Source organism: Homo sapiens, chromosome 16 (assembly GCF_000001405.40).
Source record: "Homo sapiens chromosome 16, GRCh38.p14 Primary Assembly".
Lineage (NCBI taxonomy): Eukaryota > Metazoa > Chordata > Mammalia > Primates > Hominidae > Homo > Homo sapiens.
In genome coordinates, this window is record NC_000016.10 from 47204560 (window position 1) to 47229243 (window position 24684).

Genomic DNA, 24684 nt, shown 5'->3' on the forward strand with positions numbered 1-24684 from the left:
ATTTCTTGTCTGACTGTTATGCTAAGGAGGTATGCATACACACATCATTTGTACCAGGTGGTATTAAAAGTAAAATAAGGTTTAATGAACCACTGACAGGCAGAGCAGTAGCTGAATGCCTGGGTCCCTTTCCCCCTACCATCCTGTATTATTAAGGTGCATGCATCAACTGCAGCAGGATGCACCATGGAAAATACTCAAGTGCCCCAGTCTTTGTGGCATTTTAAATTTTATATGGACATTGGAAGAAGACTGGGAATATCTAGAAGACATGAGAGCTTCCTGGCTGAGAAAACTGTCTTTGTTAGAAAGGAGGAGTGTCAGGAACTAAGCTTCAATTATTAGGCTGTTGTATTCTCTAAACTCATATGCTGAGCCAGCACTTTGCTAAACTATCAAAAGACAGGTCCCAGGACCATCAGATGTACCTCTCCTGCCTCTCCAAATCTTTTCCTAATTCATCTGTCTGTTTACAATGCCACATGATGCCTGGCAAATAATACTACTATTTACATAGGAAGGTGGGAAGGATTTCCAAATATCCGTAGAAGTTTGGAATCATAGCTGAATATTCATAAGTTTATAAAGTTTTGTGATATTTGTGAGTTTTATAGTCTACATCAGGATTTCTCAAGTCAGCACTGTTGACATTTTGGGATGGATAATTTTTTGTTGAGGGAGCTGTTCTATCTGTTATAGTTTGCTTAGCAGCCTCCTGGCCTCTATCCACTAGATGCCAGTAGCACCCTCCCAGTTGTGACAATCAAAAATGCCTGCAGACATTGTCAAATGTCTCCCATGAGTCAAAATCACCCGATTGAGAACCACTGGTCCAAAGACAATTCGTACAAATTTTCAGACTCAGATTCTTAGTGCACTCAATGCAAGTCAGTGTATTTCTGAATCGGGATGAGAAAAAGTAAATTAGGGGGTAAAAACTCCTCATTTCCTGCATAATCAGCCTGGGAGAGGAGAAAAGGATCATTTTTATTGATCAAGGTTTTCTACGCTCTGTGATTATTCTAATAAAGTTATGAGCTTCTAGCCTTCTGAATAAATTTTCTGTGAAAGAAGTTATCTAACTACAGGAAGTAACCAGGCTTTCAGGATTGGAGCAACCAGTGAGAACTCCATACTTCAACAGACTTCATCCTAGGAACACACACAGAGATTGAACATCCACTCCGATCGTATCATCAACCAGTGTGCAATTCAGTTTAATTAATCAGAGTCATAGTTGTTTGTCAATTTCCCCAGCTGGAATTAAATTATCTATCTATCTATCTATCTATCTATCTATCTATCTATCTATCTATCTATCTATCTATCTGAGTCTAACTTTGTTGCCCAGGCTGGAGTGCAGTGGCATGATCTTGGCTCACTGCAACCTCTGCCTCCTGGGTTCATGCTACTCTCCTGCCTCAGCCCCCTGAGTAGCTGCGACTACAGGCGCCCGCCACCACGCCTGGCTAATTTTTATATTTTTAGTGGAGATGGGGTTTCACCACGTTGGTCTGGCTAGTCTCAAACTCCTGACCTCAAGTGATCCACCCACCTCGGCTTCCCAAAGTGCTGGGAACACAGGCGTGATCCACCACGCCTGGCCAGGCATTAAATATTTGATAATAATAGTTAATATTTACTATCTAAGCTATAATACCAACTTGATCTCTCCAGTTGGATCCAAAGAACACATGATTACCTCCCCCATCCCCATCTAAACTGCTCCTCACCAGTCATCTTTCTCAGTAAGAGACAGCTACCCTGCTACCTATGGCTCAAGCCCTCATATCCTGTGATTTATTCTTATTGAGATATAATTCACATGCCATAAAATGTACCTTTAATGTATACAATTCAGCAGTTTGTTAGTATGTTCTCAGAGTTGGGCAAACCTGACCACTATCGAATTCCAGAACATTCTCATCGACCTCAATATGAAACTCCATACCTATCAGCAGTCATCCCATTACTCTCACCTACCAGCCTCTGGGAACCAGAATCTACTTTCTGTCTCTATGGATCTGCTTATTCTAGGCACTTCCTATAAATGGAATAATACCACAAAAATGGCCTTTTGTTTGTGGCTTCTTTCATTTAGCAGGTATTCAAGGTTCTTCCTCAGATTTCACTCTTGATTTCCCTTTTTTCACCCATTCCATAGTAGTCCATGAAGAAGTGCAGTTAATGCCATCTCCTTAACACATCCCTAGCCTGCCCATTTCTCTCCATCACTGCTACCATGTTAGTGTGAGCTGCTGGCATCTTGTGCCTGAATGCTTCCTATACTTCACCTGACTGACATCCCAACAGCCACAACTCAACTCCTAAGTTTTCTACCCAAGAGAGGCCCTCCCTGATCAACCAACTTAAAGTAGCACTCAAACCACTCTCCATTACATGGACCTCTTTTTGCTTTTATTCGTTCACTCAATTATTCAACAAATATTTATTCAGTATTATGATAGTATTTCTCTAGGTGCTGGGAATACAGAAGTGAACAAGACAAAGATCCTTGCTCTCTTATTTTATTTTTTTTTTGAGACGGAGTCTCGCTCTGTCGCCCAGGCTGGAGTGCAGTGGCGCCATCTCGGCTCACTGCAAGCTCTGCCTCCCAGGTTCATGCCATTCTCCCGCCTCAGCCTCCCGAGTAGCTGGGGCTACAGGCGCCTGCCACCATGCCCATTTAATTTTTTTGTATTTTTTAGTAGAGATGGGGTTTCACCGTGTTAGCCAGGATGGTCTCGATCTCCTGACCTCGTGATCCGCCCATCTCGGCCTCCCAAAGTGCTGGGATTACAGGCGTGAGCCACCGCGCCCGGCCTGCTCTCTTATATTCTAATGGAGGTACCACACAATAAAATAATTAGAAGGTGGCAAGTGCTTTGGCACAAGATGAAGTACAGAAGGGGAATAGTGAGGAGTGGGGAGTGTTGTGGTTTTCAAAAAAGTGATTAGGGAAGTGCTCAGTGAGCTGACAGCTGAACAAAGACATGAAGCAGGTAAGCCATGAGGATATCCAAAGACAGGTGTCCCAGGGAGAGGGGATGAGCTTGGTGAATGCAGGGCAGCAAAGGGGCCCGTATAACAGATGCAGAGTTAAGAAGGCGGGAGAGTAGAAGTAGATGCCGTCAGAGAGAGAACAGAGATCCAGAACTTGCAGGGCCCTGGGGGCCACAGGACGTTAACTCACTACCTGGTATTTTCCCATTTTCTCTCTCCCCACCCTCCCGCCCCTTCCACAGAATGTAACTGCCTTGAGAGCAACAACATTATCTGGTTTGTTCAACAATATATACTTACTCAGCCAAGAACTGTACCAGACAGAGTGAAATCATTCAATAAATGCTTACGAGATGAATTTACTGAATAATTACTATGTACCAGGCATTGTATAAGCCCTTAGTATGCATTATCTCATAATTATTGTCACCATTTTACAGTAAGAAAACTGTAGTTTGGGGAGGTTAAATAATTTGCCCAAGGTAACACAGCAGGAGACTGGAAAAGCCAAGACTTGAAATCAGGAGTGCTGACTCCAGAAACTTTATTCCACTACCTTTAAAATAATTTATAAATATGAGGTCATATTATCATTTATTATAAAAGATGGCTAAGACTAGAGAACCTGGAGCCAGGCTGCCTGGGTTCAAATCCAGGCTCTGCCTCATACTAGCTGTGTGACTCTGGGGAAGTCCTTAACTTCTGTATGAATCAGATTCTTCAGCTCTAAAGTGAGGATGACAATAATGAACTACATTACTGGCCTTTGTGAGACTTAAAAAAACTAATCCATGTATAAGAACTTTAAGGTGTTTGGTACGCTAAAAGTACTCATTAAGTGTAAGCTATTATTTATTCCCAGAGTCTTTAAGCCTCATATATCTTTCCAGCTATGAGACTAGTATGAGGCACTGTATCTTCTACAACCTGGAGCTGTACTTCTAGAACAAACGAAAGGACCTGACATCAGGTGGTTAACATTGATGGGCACCAGTCCTTTACTTTAATTGTATCGCTTTTATCTTAGAAGTCAAATATTAATATTTTCTGTTGGCAACCATAAGAAGTTTTGGTGGTAATCAATAAAACTTCTAGTGTGACTCCATGTTTCTCCTGTTTGAAAAATACTGGAGAACGTAATTTCAGAAAAAGCTGATCATCTTATCTGGAATCACTTCTCATCCTACATAAGTGGGATACCGTTAGAGATAACCAACTTCTCTGTTTGTTATTAGGTTTAATCAGTGTTATCACATTTGTAAGAGTAAAACCTTTTGATTGAGGAAGTCAGATGGTCAACCCATCTTCCTTCCATGAGTACAATGCAGGGAGGGGAGAGGAGGGAAGTGAGGGTATCTGGGAATTGAGAGACAAGAGAGATTTAAAAAATATCCTTCCTCACAATTATTCAAATACTTTAAATGTTTATCATTGTCATCCAACTTAGAATAAGAAGGGGGAAAACATAAGGAAGATTGAAAAAATTGAGAATTAAAAATTGAGCCATGAGAAAAGTATTAAAAATCAAGATAGCCAAAGTTCAGTGAAATCTAACGAAGTGGTTCCCACCTACTTTATTACTAAAACTCTTTTATATATTTCTTTTATAGATTTGAAATTGGAATATATTTTGTCTACCAAACTATATTTACTAAAATGTTTCCTATTTTAATCCATCATTGTAACTGTAAAATAAATCATATCCCAAGTATTCATTTAATATTATCTATCTGATCAGAACTACTGATCATTATATAACCAATATTACCATAGTATTGATATAATTCCAATAAAAGCAAAGAAGCATAACATACTGTTACTCTATGGAACCTTATACAAATATACAATGGTATTTTAGGCTGCAAATAGTTACAGATACTATTTTTACCACCACAGATCTTACAGTGATTTTTAAACTAAACTTTTTATTTTGAGATAATTTTAGATTTCCATGCAGATATAGAAATAATGCAAAGATCCCATGTACCCTTTATTCAGTTTTCTCCCATGGTAACATCTTACAAAATGAGAACATATTATCAAAGCCAGTAAAATACTGATTCTGAGACAGTGAAGTCCTGAACGTTTCCATCACCACAAGGATCCCTCATACTGTCTTTTCATAGCCACAACCATTTCCCCGTCACCCACACCTACTCCTAAATCCCTGTCTAACTCTAATTTGTTCTTCATTTCTATAACTTTTTTTCACTTTAGAAATGTTATACAAATAGAATCATATAGTATATAAACTTCTGGGATAGGCTTTTTCTCAATGTAATCCTCTGGAGATTCATCTGGGTTGTTCTGTGAAAAATAGTTTGTTCCTTTTCATTGCTGAGTAGTGTTTCATGGCATGGATGTACCAAAGATTTTAATAAGCCACAGGAGGATGCCTGGGTTGCTTCTAGTTTAGGGCTATTATGAATACAGCTGGTATAAACACTCACGTGTAGATTTTTGAGTGAACATTTAACTTTTCATCTCTCTGGGATAAATGCCTGGGACTGCAATTGCTGGGTCATACAGTAGTTGCATGTCTAGTTTTTTAAGAACTACCAACATTTTCCAGAGTGACTAAAACATTTTACATTCACACAAGCAATATATAAGTGATCTACTGTCTCTGCATCCTCATTAGCATTTGATGTTGTCACTTTATTTTTTTAGCCATTCCGATAGGTGTGTAGTATATCCCATTGTGGTTTTCATGTGCATTTCCCTAATTAAATACTGTTAACGTCTTTTCATGTGCTAATTGCTACCTATGTATCTTCTTCAGTGAAATGTCTCTTCATGTCTCTTGTCCATGTTTTAATTTGACAGTGTGAAGAGTTCTTTATATATTATAGATATTGAACCTTTGTCAGATATGTGATTTGCAAATATCTTTCTTTCAGGCTGTAGATTGTCTTTTCATCCTCTTATCAGGGTCTTTCACAGAGCAAAACTATTTAAGTTTTGATGAAGTCTTGTAAATATTTCCTTTAATGGATCTTGCTTTTGGTGTAAAGTCTAAGGACTCTTTGCCAAGCCTTAAATCCAGAAAATATCCTCATGATTCTTGTTAGAAGATCTATGGTTTCATATTTTACATTTATGTCCATGATCCACTTTGAATTCCTTTTTGTAACTTTGTGAAAAACCTATCTTTCCTTTATTGCTTTTTGCACCTTTGTCAAAAATGAGGTAGGCATGTTTGTATGGGCTTATTTCTGGGTTCTGTCTTCCATTTCATAATCAATGTATCTGTACTTCTGCCAATACCATACAGTCTTGATTACTGCAGCTATAAAATAAGTCTTGAAATTACATAGACGAATTCCACCTATTTTATTCTTCTTTTTCCAATTGTTTCAGTTCTATTAGGTTGGTGCAAAAGTAATTGTGGTTTTGCCATTAAAAAATGACAAAAAGCACAATTACTTTTGCAGTAACTTAATAGCTCCTTGGCCTTTCCATATATATTTTCTAATGAAATTGTCTATATCTACAAAATATCCTTCCGGGGACGTGGAAAGGAATTGTGTTAAACCTGCAAGGCAATTTATGGAAAACTGATATCTCTCTCTGTTAAATCTCCCAATCTATGAACCTTGCGTATCTCTTCATTTATTTAGACGACTGATTTCTCTCACTGGCATTGCGTAGTTTTCAACATATAAGTCCTCTATATGTTTTGTTAAATTTATACTTAAGTATTTCACATTTTTTGAGTGATTGAGAATAGAAATGTATTTTTAATTTTGGTGTCTATGTATCCATTGATAATGTACAGACATACAACTGATTTTTGCGTTCTTGTATCCTGCAACCTTGCTGAATGTACTTCTTGGTTGCAGCAGTTTTTGCTGAGTGTGTGTTTTTTATTCCTGGAGGTCATCTATGTATACAATTATGTCATCTGGAAATAGTGATGGTTTTACTTCTTTGCTTTCAACTTGGTTGCCTTTTGTTTCCTTTTCTTGCCTTATTCCAGTGAATTTACAATTAGAGTGTTTAGAGGCGATATCCTTGCTTAGTTCCTAATCTTCGACGCAGACCATTCAGTCTTTTATCATTAAGCATAAATTCAGCTGAAGGTTTCTTGTAAACATTCTTTATCAAATTCAGGAAGTTATTCTCTATCCCTATTTTTATGACAGTTTTTATCATGAATAGTTTAAACTTCAGTGCTTTTTCGGCATCAGTTAATATGACCATGTGGTTTGTTTTCTTCTTTACTCTGTCAATGTGGTGTACTACACTAATAGATTTTTTAATCTTGAACTGGCATTGTGTCCCTGGCATAACCCCCACTTGATCATGGTGTATAATTATTTCTATATAATGCTGTATGTGTTCTACTCACTAATTTTTTTTCTTTCTTTTTTTTTTTGGTAGAGAAGGGGTCTTACTGTGTATCCCAGGCTGGTCTCAAATTCCTAGGCTCAAGTGATTCTCCCACATCGGCCTCCCAAAGTGCTGGGATTGCAGGCATGGGCTACCATGTTTGTCCCACTAATCATGATTTTTGTATTTATATTCATGAGGACTATCTGTCTACAGGGATTTTGTACTGTCTTTGTCTGGTTTTGGTATCAGGGTAAACCTACAAACCAGAAAATTTTCCTTTTTTTTTCTAAAGGAGATTGTACAGAATTTGAAGTTAACTCTATTTTATTTTTTTGAGACGGGGTCTTGCTGTGTCACCCAGGTTAGAGTGCAGTGGTGCAATTGTGGCTCACTGTAACCTTGACCTCCAGGGCTCAAGTGATCCTCCCACTTCAGCCTCCTGAATTGCTGGGACTATGGGCACATGCCACTACATCTGGCTTATTTAAAAAAATTTTTTTGTAGACACAGGATCTCACTATATTGCCTGGGTTGGTCTCAAACTCCTGAACTCAAGTGATCCTCTCGCCTTGGCCTCCCAAAGTGCTGGGATTACAGGCATGAGCCATCCATCGCACTCTACCAGTTAACTGTATTTTAAATGTGTGGTATAATTCTTACCACTTGGGTCTACCTATTTCTTTTTTGCAAGTTTTAAAATTATGAACCCAATTTCCTTAGTAATTTTAAGATTATTCAAATGATATATTTTATATTGGATAATTTGTGATAGTTTGTGTTTTTCAAGAAGTTTGTCCATTTCTTCTAAGATGTCCAATGCATGTGCATATTATTCCCTTATTATCCTTTTGATATCTTCAGGGTCCACAGTGAGTCATCTGATTCATTCCTGACACTGGCAATTTATGTCTCCTCTCTCTTTTTTTTTGGTCAGTCCTGGTACAGATTTGTCAATTTTGTTTATTTCCTGTTTAACTGATTTTATCTTTTGTTTTGCTGTTTTGAATTTCAATAACTTCTGCTCTTATTTATTTCCTTCCTCTTGTTTACTTTAGGTTTGCTTTTCTATTCATAGGTTGTTGAGGTGGGTGCTTACGTTATTAATCTGAGACTTACTCTTTTCTATTATACACATGCATTGTTATAATTTTCCTCTCAGCACTGCTTTGGCTGTGTCCCCAAGTTTTTGATATGTTGTATTTTTCTTTTCATTCAGCTCAATATATTTTAAGAATTTCCCTTGAAAATTTCTCTTTGACCTCTGGATTATTTAGAAATAAGATGTTTAAGTTTCAAGTGTTTAGAGATTTTACAACAGGAATTTCTGTTGTTGATTTCTATTTTAAGTTCATTGTGGTTGGAGAATACTCTCTATGGTTTCACTTGTTTAAATTTTTTGAGGTTTTTAAATTAAAATTTTTTAATTGCCCAGAACTCAGTCTATTTTAGTATATGCTCCATGGGCATTTGAAAAGAATGTATTGCTGTTGTTGGGCAGATTATTCTATAAATGTCTACTAGATCCTGTTGGTTGATGATATTGCTGAGTTCTGTATCCTTGCTGATTTTCCAACTGTTTGCCAAATCTTGAGAGAGAGATATTGAGGTCTCCAACTATAAATGTAGATTTGTCTATTCGCCTTTCAGTTCAATTTTGGCTTCATACATTTTGCAGCTCTGTTTTTTGATGCAATTAGAATTGCTATGTCACGGGAGGGGAGGGGGCTGAAGGTTGAGCTGATTACTAATGGCCAGTAATTTAATCAATAATGCCTCCACAATGACGCTTCTATAAATCCCAAAAGGATAGGATTTGGAGAGCTTCTGGGTTACTGAATACATCCATGGGCTGGGAGTGTGGTGCACCCCAGGTTCCACAAGACTTGTGCTCAGGACCCTTCTGAACCTTACCTTATGTATTTCTTCATGTGGCTGTTGATCTGTATCCTTCATAATATCTTTATAATAAGCCAGTACATGTAAGTAAGTGTTTCCCTGAGTTCTGTGAGCCATTCCAGCAAATGACTGAACTTGATGAAGGAGTGAGTCATGGGAAATGCCAATTTATAGACTCTCCATCAGAAATACTGGATGCCTGGACTTGTGATTGGCATCCAAAGTGGGGAAAATCTTGTGAGACTGAGCCCTTAACTGTGGGATATGAGTCTGCCTCCAGAAAGTGTCAGAATTGAATTAAATTATGAGATACCTAGCTTGTGTTGGAGAACAGGTTGATGTGGGGTAAAACCCTACATATCTGGTCACAGATGTGTTCTGTGTTGAATGAGTGTGTGTCGTAGAAGACATATTTTTTCCCCTACATCACAGCATGTGATTGCTTAACATCACTTCTTGCATACACTAAGGGTACACAGAAGGCAAAGGTTACTTATGTTTTTCTCAGATATATTAACAAATAGTAACCACAGAGGAAAAAGGAAAATGATTTTGCTCTGGATTTAAACAGTATGGCCAAATAAGTCGTTTATGGGGTAGAAAAGCAATTCTTGGTCTAATAATGTTGTTATTCATAAATGACCAACAACTCACTAGTCTACAAAATTTTGCCAATGTACTCCATTCTATTAAGTTCTTATCAAATATTGTTTAGGCAATTTGGATGCCCATTGCAGATCCCTGGCTAATTTACAAGAGTAGTAAACAAAATCCTAGATTCAAAACCAGAGGAGTTTAAGCTCCTAAAAAGTTCATAATAAATGTACTTTATTTTTATTTTTTAAATCTGTTACAGGAACTATTATTTAGAAAATTAATGACTCCTCTGTAATGTAACTCTCTAATAATGTTTGGCTATTCAGGCTTTGCTAGGAAATGGACTAAGACTGCAGAGTAATGGGTAAGAATGATAATCTATCTGTAAGCAATAGGATAATTGGGCCAGGCCTTTACTGAATAATATTAATTTATGTTGTTGTTGTTATTTCTCTCTGGCAGTGGTTTTCAAACTTTTCTGATCACAGCCCACAATAAAAACTACATCCTATGTTATTACCCAGTGTGAAAACACACACACACACACACACACACACACACACACACACACGCACGCACAACTAAATAAAAATTTCATGAAACAATACTTTACCATCTGGGATGTACTCTGATCAATAGATTGTTTTCTACTGTTCTCTTTTATTCTATTAAGTAAAATACTCTAAAAGCTACTACATTAATTTTATGACCCGACAATGGGTAGTGAGTGACTCTCAGCTGCTCTAGGAGAAAACCAAGGCTGTAGTTTCCGAAATACGTAAATGTAGTCATCCTCTTCCTACAGTGGAACATTCTCTGCTGATGGGGTAGGATGGGATGGAAGGTACGGTTTAGCCCAGTAATGTTTCTTTGGAGTTCAACATGCTTAACATTTAAACTGGGAATTTTCATCCTTTAAAATTTGGGGCAGGGTTTCATGATGGCACTCCCTCAGTCAATTAAATTAAGTGCTACTTCCTTGCTTAGAATACATTTTATGCATGAAATACAGCATATGTTTGAAATATTTTAAAAGCTTTTTCTTAAATTAAAAAGCAATATATATTTAGTAAACAAAAATGCAAAGAAATATATAAAATCCAAAAACCAAGAGATAATCATAGTAACATACGTTAGTTTGTTTATATATTTGTCCTACACACAGACACACTTAAAAATCACACACATACAATTTGCATTCCCATGACCAAGAGATAATTGTGGTAACATTTTATGCGTCATTTTGTTTATATATTTTTCCTACACACAGACACACTTAAAATAACGCACATACAATTTGGATTTTACATGCAGATATGTCTTCCTCCAACTATTATAAACATCAAAAATTATCTTAAAATATTTTGCAGTCTGGAGAATATTATAAAATGGGATAATTTATTATATCTCTATTTATAGACATTTAGATTTTTTTCAAGTTTGTGAGGGCTTTTTATTTTTGTTTTCAGTGTTCTGCCATGAAAATTTATGCATTCATTTGATTTATGCACTCAACTGCATTTATTTTTACCTTAGATATTTTTTCATTTCCTTTTATGCCTACAAATTCCCTCCCAATTTCTACTCCAATCTAGAAACAGGTAAATATTAGATATGATAAGAATAAATCTAATGTTCCATTACTGTTTTGGGGTAGATCTTTAAAAATCATGCTAAGTAAATATTGTTCCATTCGCTTAAAAAAATAGTAATGGGTAGTGAATATTACTGAATGGAGTTCAATACTAGTTGCCAATGTCTAGTTTGCAGTATAAGTTTGGTGAAAATTTTGTTGACTGAATCAAGAATCCCATTTTTTTTTTTTCTGAGACGGAGTTTTGTTCTTGTCACCTAGCTGGAGTGCAATGCCCTCAGCTCACTGCAACTGCTGCCTCCAGGTTCAATGAGTCTCCTGCCCCAGCCTCCCGAAGTAGCTGGGACTACAGGCATGTGCCACCACACCTGGCTAATTTCTTTTTTTTGCATTTTCAGTAGAGACAGCGTTTCACCATTTTGGCCAGGCTGGTCTCAAACTCCTGACCTCAGGTGATCCGCCCACCTTGGCCTCCGAAAGTGCTGGGATTACAGGCATGGGCCACTGCACCCAGCGCATCTTTTTTAAACAATGAAAAAGAACTGAAAACTAGTCAACAGTTATAGAAATGTACAAAGTGGAAAGTGAATCTCTTGAAATTGTATTCCTCAAGATAAATGTTAATTTTTTATTAACTTTTCTTCTATGAAGTGAGAATTATTTTATTATTTTATTATTTATTTATTTATTTTTTTTTGAGACAGTCTTACTCCTTCACCAAGGTTGGAGTGCAGTGGTGTGATCTCGGCTCACTGCAACATCTACCTCCCAGGTCCAAGTGATTCTCATGCCTCAGCCTCCTGAGTAGCTGGAATTACAGGCGACCGCCACCACGTGCAGCTTTTGTATTTTTAGTGGAAATGGGGCTTTGTCATGTTGGCCAGGCTGGTCTTGAACTCCTGACCTCAAGTGAACCACCCGCCTTGGTCTCCCAAAGTGGTGGGATTACAGGCATGAGCACCTGGCCTGAATTATTCATTTAACTGCATAAAAATATATGCAAATAGATGTTTACTGTTGTATTGTTGTATTATAGTAAAACAAAAAATAGAGGATTGGCTAGAGTAGCTATTGTATCTTTATACAAAATAGCCCCCAAAGAAATCAGGATTATCTGTATGAACAGATATGGAGAGATGTACACAATGTATCATTATATGAAAAAAAAAGAAAAAGAAAGTATTTTAAAAACTGATGCACTGCTATAACAATTAAGAGATTTTCCCATTTTAAGCCATCAGTGCATTCCTTAGATAATCATCTACTTGATTACGTTAAGTAAGCAATTCTTTAAAAATACAGACAAATTTAAGTTGTTAGGTTTTAGATAGGATTTTCATTGATATCCCACCAGTGAACTTAGTTTTTGGTTTTGAGTATGCTGGCTCTGCCCGAGTTATACTAGGTTCATGAAATGCAATAAATAACTTCATCTTGTCATCCTGTATTCTGGAACATCTTACCTAGCACTGAAATCATCTGCATCTTCAAAGTCTAAAAGAATTAACTGATAAAACCAGCTGGTCCCAGAGCCTTTTTTGTAAAGGTTTAATATGTACATGAATTAAAAACATAAAGAAGTAATTTGTTCAAATTATCTATATCCTTATTTATCTTGAACTGCTGTGACTGACAGTGGTATATTAAAGTATAATTGTGGCCAGGTGCAGTGGCTCACGCCTGTAATCCCAGCACTTTGGGAGGCTGAGGCAGACTGATCATGAGGTCAGGAGACGGAGATTATCCTGGCTAACACAGGTGAAACCCCATCTCTACTAAAAATATAAAAAATTAGCCGGGTGTAGTGGCGGGCACCTGTGGTCCCAGCTGCTCGGGAGGCTGAGGCAGGAGAATGGCGGGAACCCGGGAGGCGGAGCTTGCAGTGAGCTGAGATCGCGCCACTGCAGTCCAGCCTGGGCAACACAGTGAGACTCCGTCTCAAATAAATAAATAAATAAAGTATAATTGTGTTTGTCAATTTCTCCTTGAATTTTTAAAAAAATTTTGTTATATGGAATGTTTCTGTGCTGAAGCAAGCAGTACAACTGAGACTCTTAAATGTGTGCAATTAGCTAAAAAAGTAAACTCACTCTGGGGTATATTTGATTTAGTAAGGCCATTACATAACATGGCAATGTCCATATAATGAGTTCTTCCTTTTTCTTTTTTGGCCAAAAAAATAGAGGAGTGACAGCAACTCTGCTTATACTTCTTCATGGTTAAAACTCTAGGCATCTTAAAAGAAGCATATTCAGATTCCTTTTCTTCTTTAGATAACTGGAATTATCACAGTTATATTTACTGTAATTTGGATCTAACCTCAGTCAGTCAGCCATCTGTTAAAAGCAGACATCCTTTGCTCAATCTTATTTCTTTTATTGTCTTAATTACATTTTCCTTTATTATTTATTTAAATGTATAACCAGATTTTTTCTTTATAATAATATATCAAAAAACCCTCTCTATGTATTACAGCTTCTATTCTATATAATAAAAAAAACTAGGAGTAGTTTATATTATACTATTAATTGGATTCTTAATTTATACGTCTTCTAAGATGAACTTAATTAACTAATTTGCACTTCACTTTCTGACCAAGATAACACAAGTAATTTCACCCAATCTCTCTGCTACTTCAACTAAAAAATAAGGATAATGAGTTGGCTCCATCATAATAGGGATATATGAAGAATTGAAAGTGAACATTTTTTGTCATAAGAACCTTTTATAATCTACCAATGTAAGTCTATGGAAAGACTAAGTATAATAAAAGTGAAGATGTTATTAAGGAGTGTGAAAACATAATTTTTTCCACCAGTTTACCTTGCTAATATATTGACTGAAGAAGCTTTTATACATTATGGACAATGTATCTGGTCTTACCTGATCCATTTTTCAGATACCCATTTGCATCTACAGTTGTATACATGATATAAGGTCCAGGTTGATTCACTCCAAAGGGCTGCAATAGAAAAAAAAAATAGTTAAGGCTTGGAAAATAAGTGAATTATTGGAAGTTTCAGGCAAATCTCTTTCAAAGCAAAAAATTCTTACACAGATGACAGTTACTTAGAGACCCCTTCCATTAACAGCACATCAAAAGAAAACCTGTTGTTTCCTAGGATCTTAGTGTTAAAAAATAATAAACAAACAAAAAGAAAACCTGATTAGTAGAAAATTCTTAAGACTTTAAATGATTTAATAGTTGCAATTATTCAGTTCGTTATTTTAACTGGGTATTTCTAAGACCAAATATTCTGTTGAATATAGCATTGCTTTTTCCCTTCAGGGAGGGATTGGACATGGTTTACATTTTCCCACTAAAATATCAACATAAATAAAATCCATCCACAATAATTACGATAGAATAAAAAATACTGATGATTAGTTCCACCACATTTAAACTCCTGCACATTTAGAGAATACATTATTTTTCATTTAAGAAAATTCTGATGGATTGACAGTGCCTCAGTTACAATGGTGAGGTCTATCTCTAACTTGTTTCCTATTTCTGGAACATTCCTCAAACCTTGAATAAAATGATATACTCCTTCTCTTTAGAAACCAAGGCTAATTAAATAGAACATAAAGAAACCAAAGATTGCAATGGACATCCTAAGATGACAAAATGTTTAAGAAATGCTTTACATTCTTTTGAATATTTTTCTCAGCCTCAAAATTCTACTGATCTTCCCAGAAAAGTATAGAAAAGTTAATAATGACATTTAGATAGGCTACTGATGCTTTAAAAATGATTTTTCTCCAGGATGATAAGAAGTAATATGATTTCATCAACATCACAATTGCCTGACTGATATTTTAAGATTTTTAGAAGTCCATATGCTTCCAATGGCTATGAGAAAATAGGTTGCTATAAGGATGGAATTACTCATAAGACATTACTAATTGATTAAATGATTCATGAAGAAATCACACAAATATGCAAAATAAACTTAAGAAACATTTTTATGTGGAAAGATGAATATTACGCTTTGTACTACACACTACTTTCATGAGAGAATTAGCAAAATGTTGTCTCTACATTCTTATCTTGCAGATGGGCAAGGAAAAGCATTGTTTTCTTTCCTATCTGTATTCAGTTAAAAAAAATCAGGTCAGCATGTGTCTGATATGAGTTGTAAAGCTGAAGCTCACCTATCATCACAGGCCAGTCATTTTGATATTTGAAGACAAGGTCTAGAAATCCTGATCCAGTTCCTCTACACAGTGGTTCTCAAAGAGTGTTACAAGAAACCCCTGGGGGTCCCAAAATACCTTCAGAAGGTCACATTAGGTAAAAACTATTTTCATAATAATACTAAGACATCTCGCGTTTTACACTGAGTTAACATTTGTATTAATAGAGCAAAAACAAAGACGTGGGTAATTAGCAGTGGCACCAAACAACGGATATTCCGACTTGGGTATTTAGCTAACTAACGTTTTCTTGAAAATGGACAGAGTGAGTCAGCCACTTTCAGAAAAACAAATGACAGTATTTGTCGCTAATGATAAAATTTGAGCTTCTAAGTGAATATTTTAATTTTGAAAAACTTGCATCTGCCACTGTGAGCCTGATATCTTCCCAATACTTAAGAAACTGTTCTGAGGCAATCAGTGGTAATATTAACAAATGTTATTTAAAAATATCATACAATAAAATGTGTTAACATGAGGAAGATCTGCATAACTCAGTAAACCAAAATTTCCAAAATGACCAATGCATGATAGTACAAAACCATTCACGGGTAAAAGATCCATCTAAAGTGCAAGGTAGACCAATATATTTTAGTGTAACAGAGTAGTGTAGAATCACTTCTGGAATGGTAAGGACCTCAAAAAAATCTGCTCCTCAATAAAAGCAATGAGAATACTGGCAGAAAGTTGTTGAAATCAACTTTTTCAGAACTTTGCAAGAATCCAAGGAGCACTCATTTAAGAAAAATAGCTGAATTTTGGTAAGAATAATTACCTCTGTTGTGTTTTAAATTGCTCTATTTCCATGTCACTCTCCCCAGCTCTGAAGTAGCCTTGAAAACCAACAGCTTTGCAAGTAGGGTAGCTATGAAAATGAAGAGCCTACCAGGTACTGGAGGGGGCAGAACAGGTTTAGAGCTCCCCAAAGATCCATTCCCAGAGAAATGTCACTATATGACCTTTTCGGAAGCTCCCTGAAAAGCTCTCTTCTCAGGGTTTGTCTTTTTTTAATGGACTGAGAGCTTGCTCTGTGTGAACAAGCTCCATCACTGTAAAGTTTCTTGAAAATACGTCCCATCAATACCTAATTTATTGAGAGTTTTTAGCATGAAGGGTTGTTGAATTTTGTCAAAGGCCTTTTCTGCATCTATTGAGATAATCATGTGGTTTTTGTCTTTGGTTCTGTTTATATGCTGGATTACATTTACTGATTTGCATATATTGAACCAGCCTTGCATCCCAGGGATGAAGCCCACTTGATCATGGTGGATAAGCTTTTTGATGTGCTGCTGGATTCGGTTTGCCAGTATTTTTTGAGGATTTTTGCATCAATGTTCATCAAGGATATTGGTCTAAAATTCTCTTTTTTGCTTGTGTCTCTGCCCGGCTTTGGTATCAGGATGATGCTGGCCTCATAAAATGAGTTAGGGAGGATTCCCTCTTTTTCTATTGACTAGAATACTTTCAGAAGGAATGGTACCAGTTCCTCCTTGTACCTCTGGTAGAATTCGGCTGTGAATCCCATCAGGTCCTGGACTCTTTTTGGTTGGTAAGCTATTGACTATTGCCACAACTTCAGCTCCTGTTATTGGTCTATTCAGAGATTCAAGTTCTTCCTGGTTTAGTCTTGGGAGAGTGTATGTGTCGAGAAATTTATCCATTTCTTCTAGATTTTCTAGTTTATTTGCGTAGAGGTGTTTGTAGTAATCTCTGATGGTAGTTTGTATTTCTGTGGGATCGGTGGTTATATCCCCTTTATCATTTTTTATTGCATCTATTTGATTCTTCTCTCTTTTTTTCTTTATTAGTCTTGCTAGCGGTCTATCAATTTTGTTGATCCTTTCAAAAAAACCAGCTCCTGGATTCATTAATTTTTTTGAAGGGTTTTTTGTGTCTCTATTTCCTTCAGTTCTGCTCTGATTTTAGTTATTTCTTACCTTCTGCTAGCTTTTGAATGTGTTTGCTCTTGCTTTTCTAGTTCTTTTAATTGTGATGTTAGGGTGTCAATTTTGGATCTTTCCTGCTTTCTCTTGTGGGCATTTAGTGCTATAAATTTCCCTCTACACACTGCTTTGAATGTGTCCCAGAGATTCTGGTATGTTGTGTCTTTGTTCTCGTTGGTTTCAAAGAACATCTTTATTTCTGCCTTCATTTCATTATGTACCCAGTAGTCATTCAGGAGCAGGTTGTTCAGTTTCCATGCAGTTGAGTGGTTTTGAGTGAGTTTCTTTCTTTTTTTTTTTTTTTTTTGAGACGAAGTCTCGCTAGGTCGCCCAGGCCGGAGTGCAGTGGCGCGATCTCGGCTCACTGCAAGCTCCGCCTCCCAGGTTCACGCCATTCTCCTGCCTCAGCCTCCCGAGTAGCTGGGACTACAGGCACCCGCCACCAGGCCCGGCTAATTTTTTATATTTTTAGTAGAGACGGGGTTTCACCATGTTAGCCAGGATGGTCTCGATCTCCTGACCTCGTGATCCGCCTGCCTCGGCCTCCCAAAGTGCTGGGATTACAGGCGTGAGCCACTCTGCCCAGCCTTGAGTGAGTTTCTTAATCCTGAGTTCTAGTTTGATTGCACTGTGGTCTGAGAGATAAGTTTGTTATAATTTCTGTTCCTTTACATTTGCTGAAGAGAGCTTTACTTCCAACTATGTGGTCAATTTTGGAATAGGTGTGGTGTGGTGCTGAGAAAAATGTATATTCTGTTGATTTGGGGTGGAGAGTTCTGTAGATGTCTATTTAGGAAATAACGCCGTATATCTACAACTATCTGATCTTTGACAAACCTGAGAAAAACAAGCAATGGGGAAAGGATTCCCTATTTAATAAATGGTGCTGGGAAAACTGGCTAGCCATATGTAGAAAGCTGAAACTGGATCCCTTCCTTACACCTTATACAAAAATCAATTCAAGATGGATTAAAGACTTAAACATTAGACCTAAAACCATAAAAACCCTAGAAGAAAACCTAGGCATTACCATTCAGGACATAGGCATGGGCAAGGACTTCATGTCTAAAACACCAAAAGCAATGGCAACAAAAGCCAAAATTGACAAATGGGATCTAATTAAACCAAAGAGCTTCTGCACAGCAAAAGAAACTACCATCAGAGTGAACAGGCAACCTACAAAATGGGAGTAAATCTTCGCAACCTACTCATCTGACAAAGGGCTAATATCCAGAATCTACAATGAACTCAAACAAATTTACAAGAAAAAAACAAACAACCCCATGAACAGACACTTCTCAAAAGAAGACATTTATGCAGCCAAAAAACACATGGAAAAATGCTCACCATCACTGGCTATCAGAGAAATGCAAATCAAAACCACAATGAGATACCATCTCACACCAGTTAGAATGGCAATCATTAAAAAGTCAGGAAACAATAGGTGCTGGAGAGGATGTGGAGAAATAGGAACACTTTTACACTGTTGGTGGGACTGTAAACTAGTTCAACCATTGTGGAAGTCAGTGTGGCGATTCCTCAGGGATCTAGAACTAGAAATACCATTTGACCCAGCCGTCCCATTACTGGGTATATACCCAAAGGACTATAAATCATGCTGCTATAAAGACACGTGCACATGTATGTTTATTGCGGCACTATTTGTAATAGCAAAGACTTGGAACCAACCCAAATGTCCAACGATGATAGACTGGATTAAGAAAATGTGGCACATATACACCATGGAATACTATGCAGTCATAAAAAATGATGAGTTCATGTCCTTTGTAGGGACATGGATGAAATTGGAAATCATCATTCTCAGTAAACTATCACAAGAACAAAAAACCAAACACCGCATAGTCTCACTCATAGGTGGGAATTGAACAATGAGAACACATGGACACAGGAAGGGGAACATCACACTCTGGGGACTGTTGTGGGGTGGGGGGAGGGGAGGGATAGCATTGGGAGATACACCTAATGCTGGATGACGAGTTAGTGGGTGCAGCACACCAGCATGGCACATGTATACATATGTAACAAACCTGCACATTGTGCACATGTACACTAAAACTTAAAGTATAATAATAAATAAATAAATAAAAGAAAATAATCATCAGCAATTGTTTAACATTGCAGCTGCCTGAGGCAGTGATTATCAGCTGGGGTTAATGAGAGGTTGACCAAATCTTAAAAGGAAAAATGGAAATGAGATATTCACAGGGGACTCTGAAAATCTCTCACTTATTTCTGGGAATCTAGAAGTCCATGAACATATGCAGCACTATGTTCGTGCCCCAGAAAGACTGGAGAAGGGCCTAACCTCTCTTTTAAGGAAATCTCTGGCCATCACAGCTGGCCATTAAGCTGAGTGGCAACACACAACAAAAAATGAAGACTTTACAGTATTAGTCTGGGAAAGTTACTGAACAAACAGCAATAAGAGCAAAAACCACAAACCCAGGCAATGGGAGAAATCTGGGAAGATTTCTGGAGTTGACGTATAGTTAAAAATGTCCAGTTTTCAATAAAAAAAATTATGACATGCAAAGAAACAGTATGGCTCATACGTCGGGGAAAAAAAAACCAGTCAAAATAAACTGCCTTCAAGGAAGCACAGATGTTAGATTTACTAGGCAAAGACTTTAAATCTGCTATAATAAACATGTTCACCAGTCTTGGCAATATGGGGAGGCCCTGTCTCCATGAAAAGTTAAAAAAATTAGCTGTGCATGGTGGCAAGTGCCTGTGGTCCCAGCTACTCAGGAGGCTGAGGTGGGAGGATTGCCTCAGCCTGGGAGGTTGAGGCTGTAGTGAGCCATGATTGCACCACTGCACTCTAGCCTGGGCAACAGAGTGAGACCTTGTCAAAAAAGAAAAGATTCTTCAAAGAATTAAAGGAAAGGAAATCATGTCTAAATAACTGAAGAAAATTATGAGAACAGTGTCTCACCACAGTAACAATAAAGAGAAATCACAAAATAGAACAAAACTGAAATTCTACAATACAATAACTGAAATGAAAAATTAACTAGCAAAGCTCAATAGGAGATTTAACCTGGCAAGGAAATAATCAGCAAAATTGAAGATATGTCAATTCATATTATCTAGTCTGAAGGATAGAAAAAAAGGGAATAAAAAAAAAATGAACAGAGCCTCTGAGACATATGGAGCACCATTAAGAATACCAACAATAATGGGAGTCCCAGAAGAGAGGAAAGAGGTAGAAATATGTGAAGCAATAATGGCTAAAACTATCTAAATTTAATGCAACATTAACCTGTACACCCAAAAAGCTCAATGAACGCCAAGTAGGGTAAACTCAAAGAGATCCACACCAAGATACATCACAGTCAAACCCTGCCTATCATATCATAGTTAACATTTTGAAAGCCAAAGATTGAATGTTGAAAGCAGCAAGAGACAAGCAATTCATCACGGACAAGGTATCCTCAGAAAGATTAACAGCTCAATTCTCATCAGAAACCCAGGAGGCTAGAAGGCAATAGGATGATAAATTCAAAGTGTTAAAAGAAAAAGACTGTCAGCCAAGAAGTCTAAAATCCAGCAAAAATATCCTTCAAAAATGGGGGGAAATTAACATATTGCCAGATAAAACCAGAAAGAACTTGTTATTAGCACACCTGACTTGTAGGAAATATTAAAGGGAATTCTGGCTGATCTGAAAGGACACTAGACAGTAATTTGAATCCACACAAATAAATAAAGAGTACTGTTAAAGGTAACTCTAAGTATTCTGCGAAGACGAAGTTGGAAAAAAAAAAGGAACTGTAGGTAAATATGGTATAAATATATTTTTGTTTGTAGCTCTTTTCTCTTACCTGATATAAAAGACTATTGTTTGAAACAATAATTATAAAACCATCTTGTTGGTCTCATAATGCTTGAAGATGTAATTTGTATTGACAATAATAGTACAAATTGAGGAGGAGTAAATAAACTGAGATATGTTAGAGCAAAGTTTTTACAAGCTACTAAAATTAAGCTGGATTAATATGAACTAGATTGTTTCTAAGTTACGATGTTAGTTGTAATCCTGAGAGCAACTACTAACAAAATAACTTTTTTGTGTGTGTGTGAGACCCGAGTCTCGTTTTGTCACCCAGGCTGGAGTGCAGCGGTGCAATCTGGGCTCACTGCAACCTCCGCCTCCGGGGTTCAAGCAAGTCTTCTGCCTCAGCCTCCCAAGTAGCTGGGACTACAGGCATGCGCCACCACACCCGGTTAATTTTTGTATTTTTATATTAAGTTTTAGGGTACATGTGCACAACGTGCAGGTTTGTTACATATGTATACATGTGCCACGTTGGTGTGCTGCACCCATTAACTCGTCATTTAGCATTAGTTATATCACCTAATGCTATCCCTCCCCCCTCCCCCCACCCCACAACAGTCCCTGGTGTGTGATGTTCCCGTTCCTGTGTCCAAATGCTCTCATTGTTCAATTCCCACCTACGAGTGACAACATGCGGTGTTTGGTTTTTTCTCCTTGCGACAGTTCGCTGAGAATGATGGTTTCTATTAAAACACTCCCTTTTCTATTACATAGTTATGTGAGGCTGAATTTTTTTCATCTATTTCAACCAAGGCAACATACCACAAAAATCTGAATGTAAAAGGAGATAAGGGAATATGCTATCTTCTATTACACTAAGCATTAAAGAGATTTGTAATAACATAAAGCAATGCCTCTCTTTCCCTAATATTTTAATATGAAAAATATAGTTTTTAAAAAAATAAAATTGGTTATGTTAATATAATGGGTTATCTTTTAAAAACAATATCATTTAAAATTATTTCAGTTTTAATTTCAAACAAAGTAATGTCAGTAGATATATCTAATGTAAAGAAAAGTTTGGGGTCCATAGACCAAGAAGTTTGAGAATTGCTCTTCTACACCATCTGTATAATGAACAATTCAATTCCCAATTTCCTTTCTCAACTGAAATGATACAACTGATACCTGGGCCTATAGGTCTTTTGGTTTCTTATCCCATACGTCATAGCATTAAACTTCATTTTTTTCTTCACTTACCTCCATATGAATGTTTACTACAAAATATACTAAAAATAGTTATGCTCATAGAAAATGCCAAGAGATCTGGAATAATTTTTACTTTGTGTTTCTTCTATACAATAAAGGTACAAGGAGTATTGCTGTATCTTTCACACCTTTTACATACTTGGGTTATATTAGGGTGTCCTTTTAAATGTCACATCTGATGCTTGTTTGAAAGAATTCAGGGAAGTTAAATTTAGACATATTAGTGATGGTTCAATTTTTCATACTATCAGTAAAAAAAGACTATCATTGGCACCCTTTTTCTCATTCTAGGATGTGTCACACTGATGTAATGCAGTTTAGGTGTTGTATCATATAGATTCTTTCTAACTAACCTGATCTCTTGTGTGCCTATTGTCTTATAAAATTGGGGTTGGAATACCTCTGTTTTCTTTAGAGACTTTTTTAGTAAGCCAAATGGTGGTTTCTATATTAGTGTCAATTATTTGATTACCTAGGGTTTGTTTCAAGGTCTTGGGCTCCTATAGTGGAGCGCAAATAATACTTCAAATCATTGGCTCTGGATGATGAAATAAAAATGGAAAAACATATAAAAGATACTGTATTAGGTATAATCAATAGCTATTATATGATAGAAATTCATGATTCTAAAATATTAGAAAAATAGCTGACTTATAGAGTGGACTTAACTTTTCTCAAGGGTAATTTTTAAAAATCCTGTTTATTTTTTAAGTGAACACTCACTGGCATTTGTCTTTATCTTCATTAACGTTAGCTGTAATGCCCAATTTAGTTTAATATTGACATTTTTTATTGTTTCTTGCTCTTTAAGACATTAAATAAAACATTATTTCCTTTAATTTTGGTTATTTTCCAATGAAAACTGCAAGATATTTTCCCTCTGACTAAGGTAAGTAAAGGACTGTAAAAAGGTATATTAAATGCAGAAAATATCCATATCATCGTTTTTCTATCTTTGGTACACGAAGCATGATATCACCACTGTCAGGTGTGATAAAAGAAAGGCAAACAGAATTAAGGAGTGAGTAATATTTTAAGGAATGTCAAATAAATCAGTTATAATCAATAAATAGTGGTTGAAGTAATGCCTGCTATATTTTAAAGCATGGTAAAACAGTACCAAGTAAGATCATTCACTTCACCAAAATAAAGATAAGAAGGTTTTTTTTTTGTTTGTTTGTTTTTTAGACAAGGTCTCACCCTGTTGCCCAGGCTGGAGCCCAGTGGCGCGATCACAGCTCACTACGGCCTTGACTTGTGCTCAGGCGATCCTCCCACCTCAGCCTCCTGAGTACCCGGGATTACAGGCGTGTGCCACCACATGCAGCTAATGTAAAACATTTTTATTCTGTAGAGACAGGATCTCACTATGTTGCCCAGGCTAGTCAGACAAGTCTCGAACTCCTGGGCTCAGGCAGTCTTCTGCCTCAGCCTCCCAAAGTGCTGGGATTACAGGTGTAAGCCATGGCATCTGACCCGAAGATAAATGTACTTGTCCTGTACTTTGTCAGAATGTTCCTAAATAGAATAGGTAAAAGCCTGAGACCCCTTCTGATTGAAAAGATTAAAAAGTTAAGTCACCTTGTTCTGTTGCATATATTAAAAATTAATTGTTGTAACAATGGAAACAATTGTGTTTCATTAGGAGGTATTTCTGTGAGCATTAATAGGGAATGTTTTTCCTTTGCATCAGAGCTTTTCCAGAATGCATTTCTCTTGTAAATAGCTTGTAATTTATTTTTCAAGTTTTCATACTTAACAGTGAATATGCTATTGGGGTGAGAGATGTGATGGTAAACTTATCAATGACGGCCCATTAAAAAGCAAACCAAATTCTAGAGAAAGCTCATTTATTCATACCTCAAATATTTGTCATGTAACTATGTGTCAGGCACTGTGCTGGGGAGTAAAGACTGAATAATCAATAAGACACAATCCTGAAGGGACTTAACACAGATACTCACCCACTTTAAACTATAATAAGTGACAGTAGTAGGACTAGGCATAGGGTGCTAAGAAACAACAGAAGGTGCATCCAACTCTATGTCAAA

The 24684-nt window shown here is 36.8% G+C and overlaps 1 protein-coding gene across 2 annotated transcripts in view; it reads right to left on the bottom strand.

Annotated features, from left to right (window-relative positions):
- ITFG1 (integrin alpha FG-GAP repeat containing 1) overlaps window positions 1-24684 on the bottom strand; it is a 306856-nt gene that overhangs the window by 50169 nt on the left and 232003 nt on the right. For both annotated transcript variants that reach the window (NM_001305002.2, NM_030790.5), the window contains exon 14: window positions 14309-14387. In NM_001305002.2, coding sequence (NP_001291931.1) covers window positions 14309-14387 — 79 coding nt within the window. The remainder of the gene's footprint in view (window positions 1-14308; window positions 14388-24684) is intronic.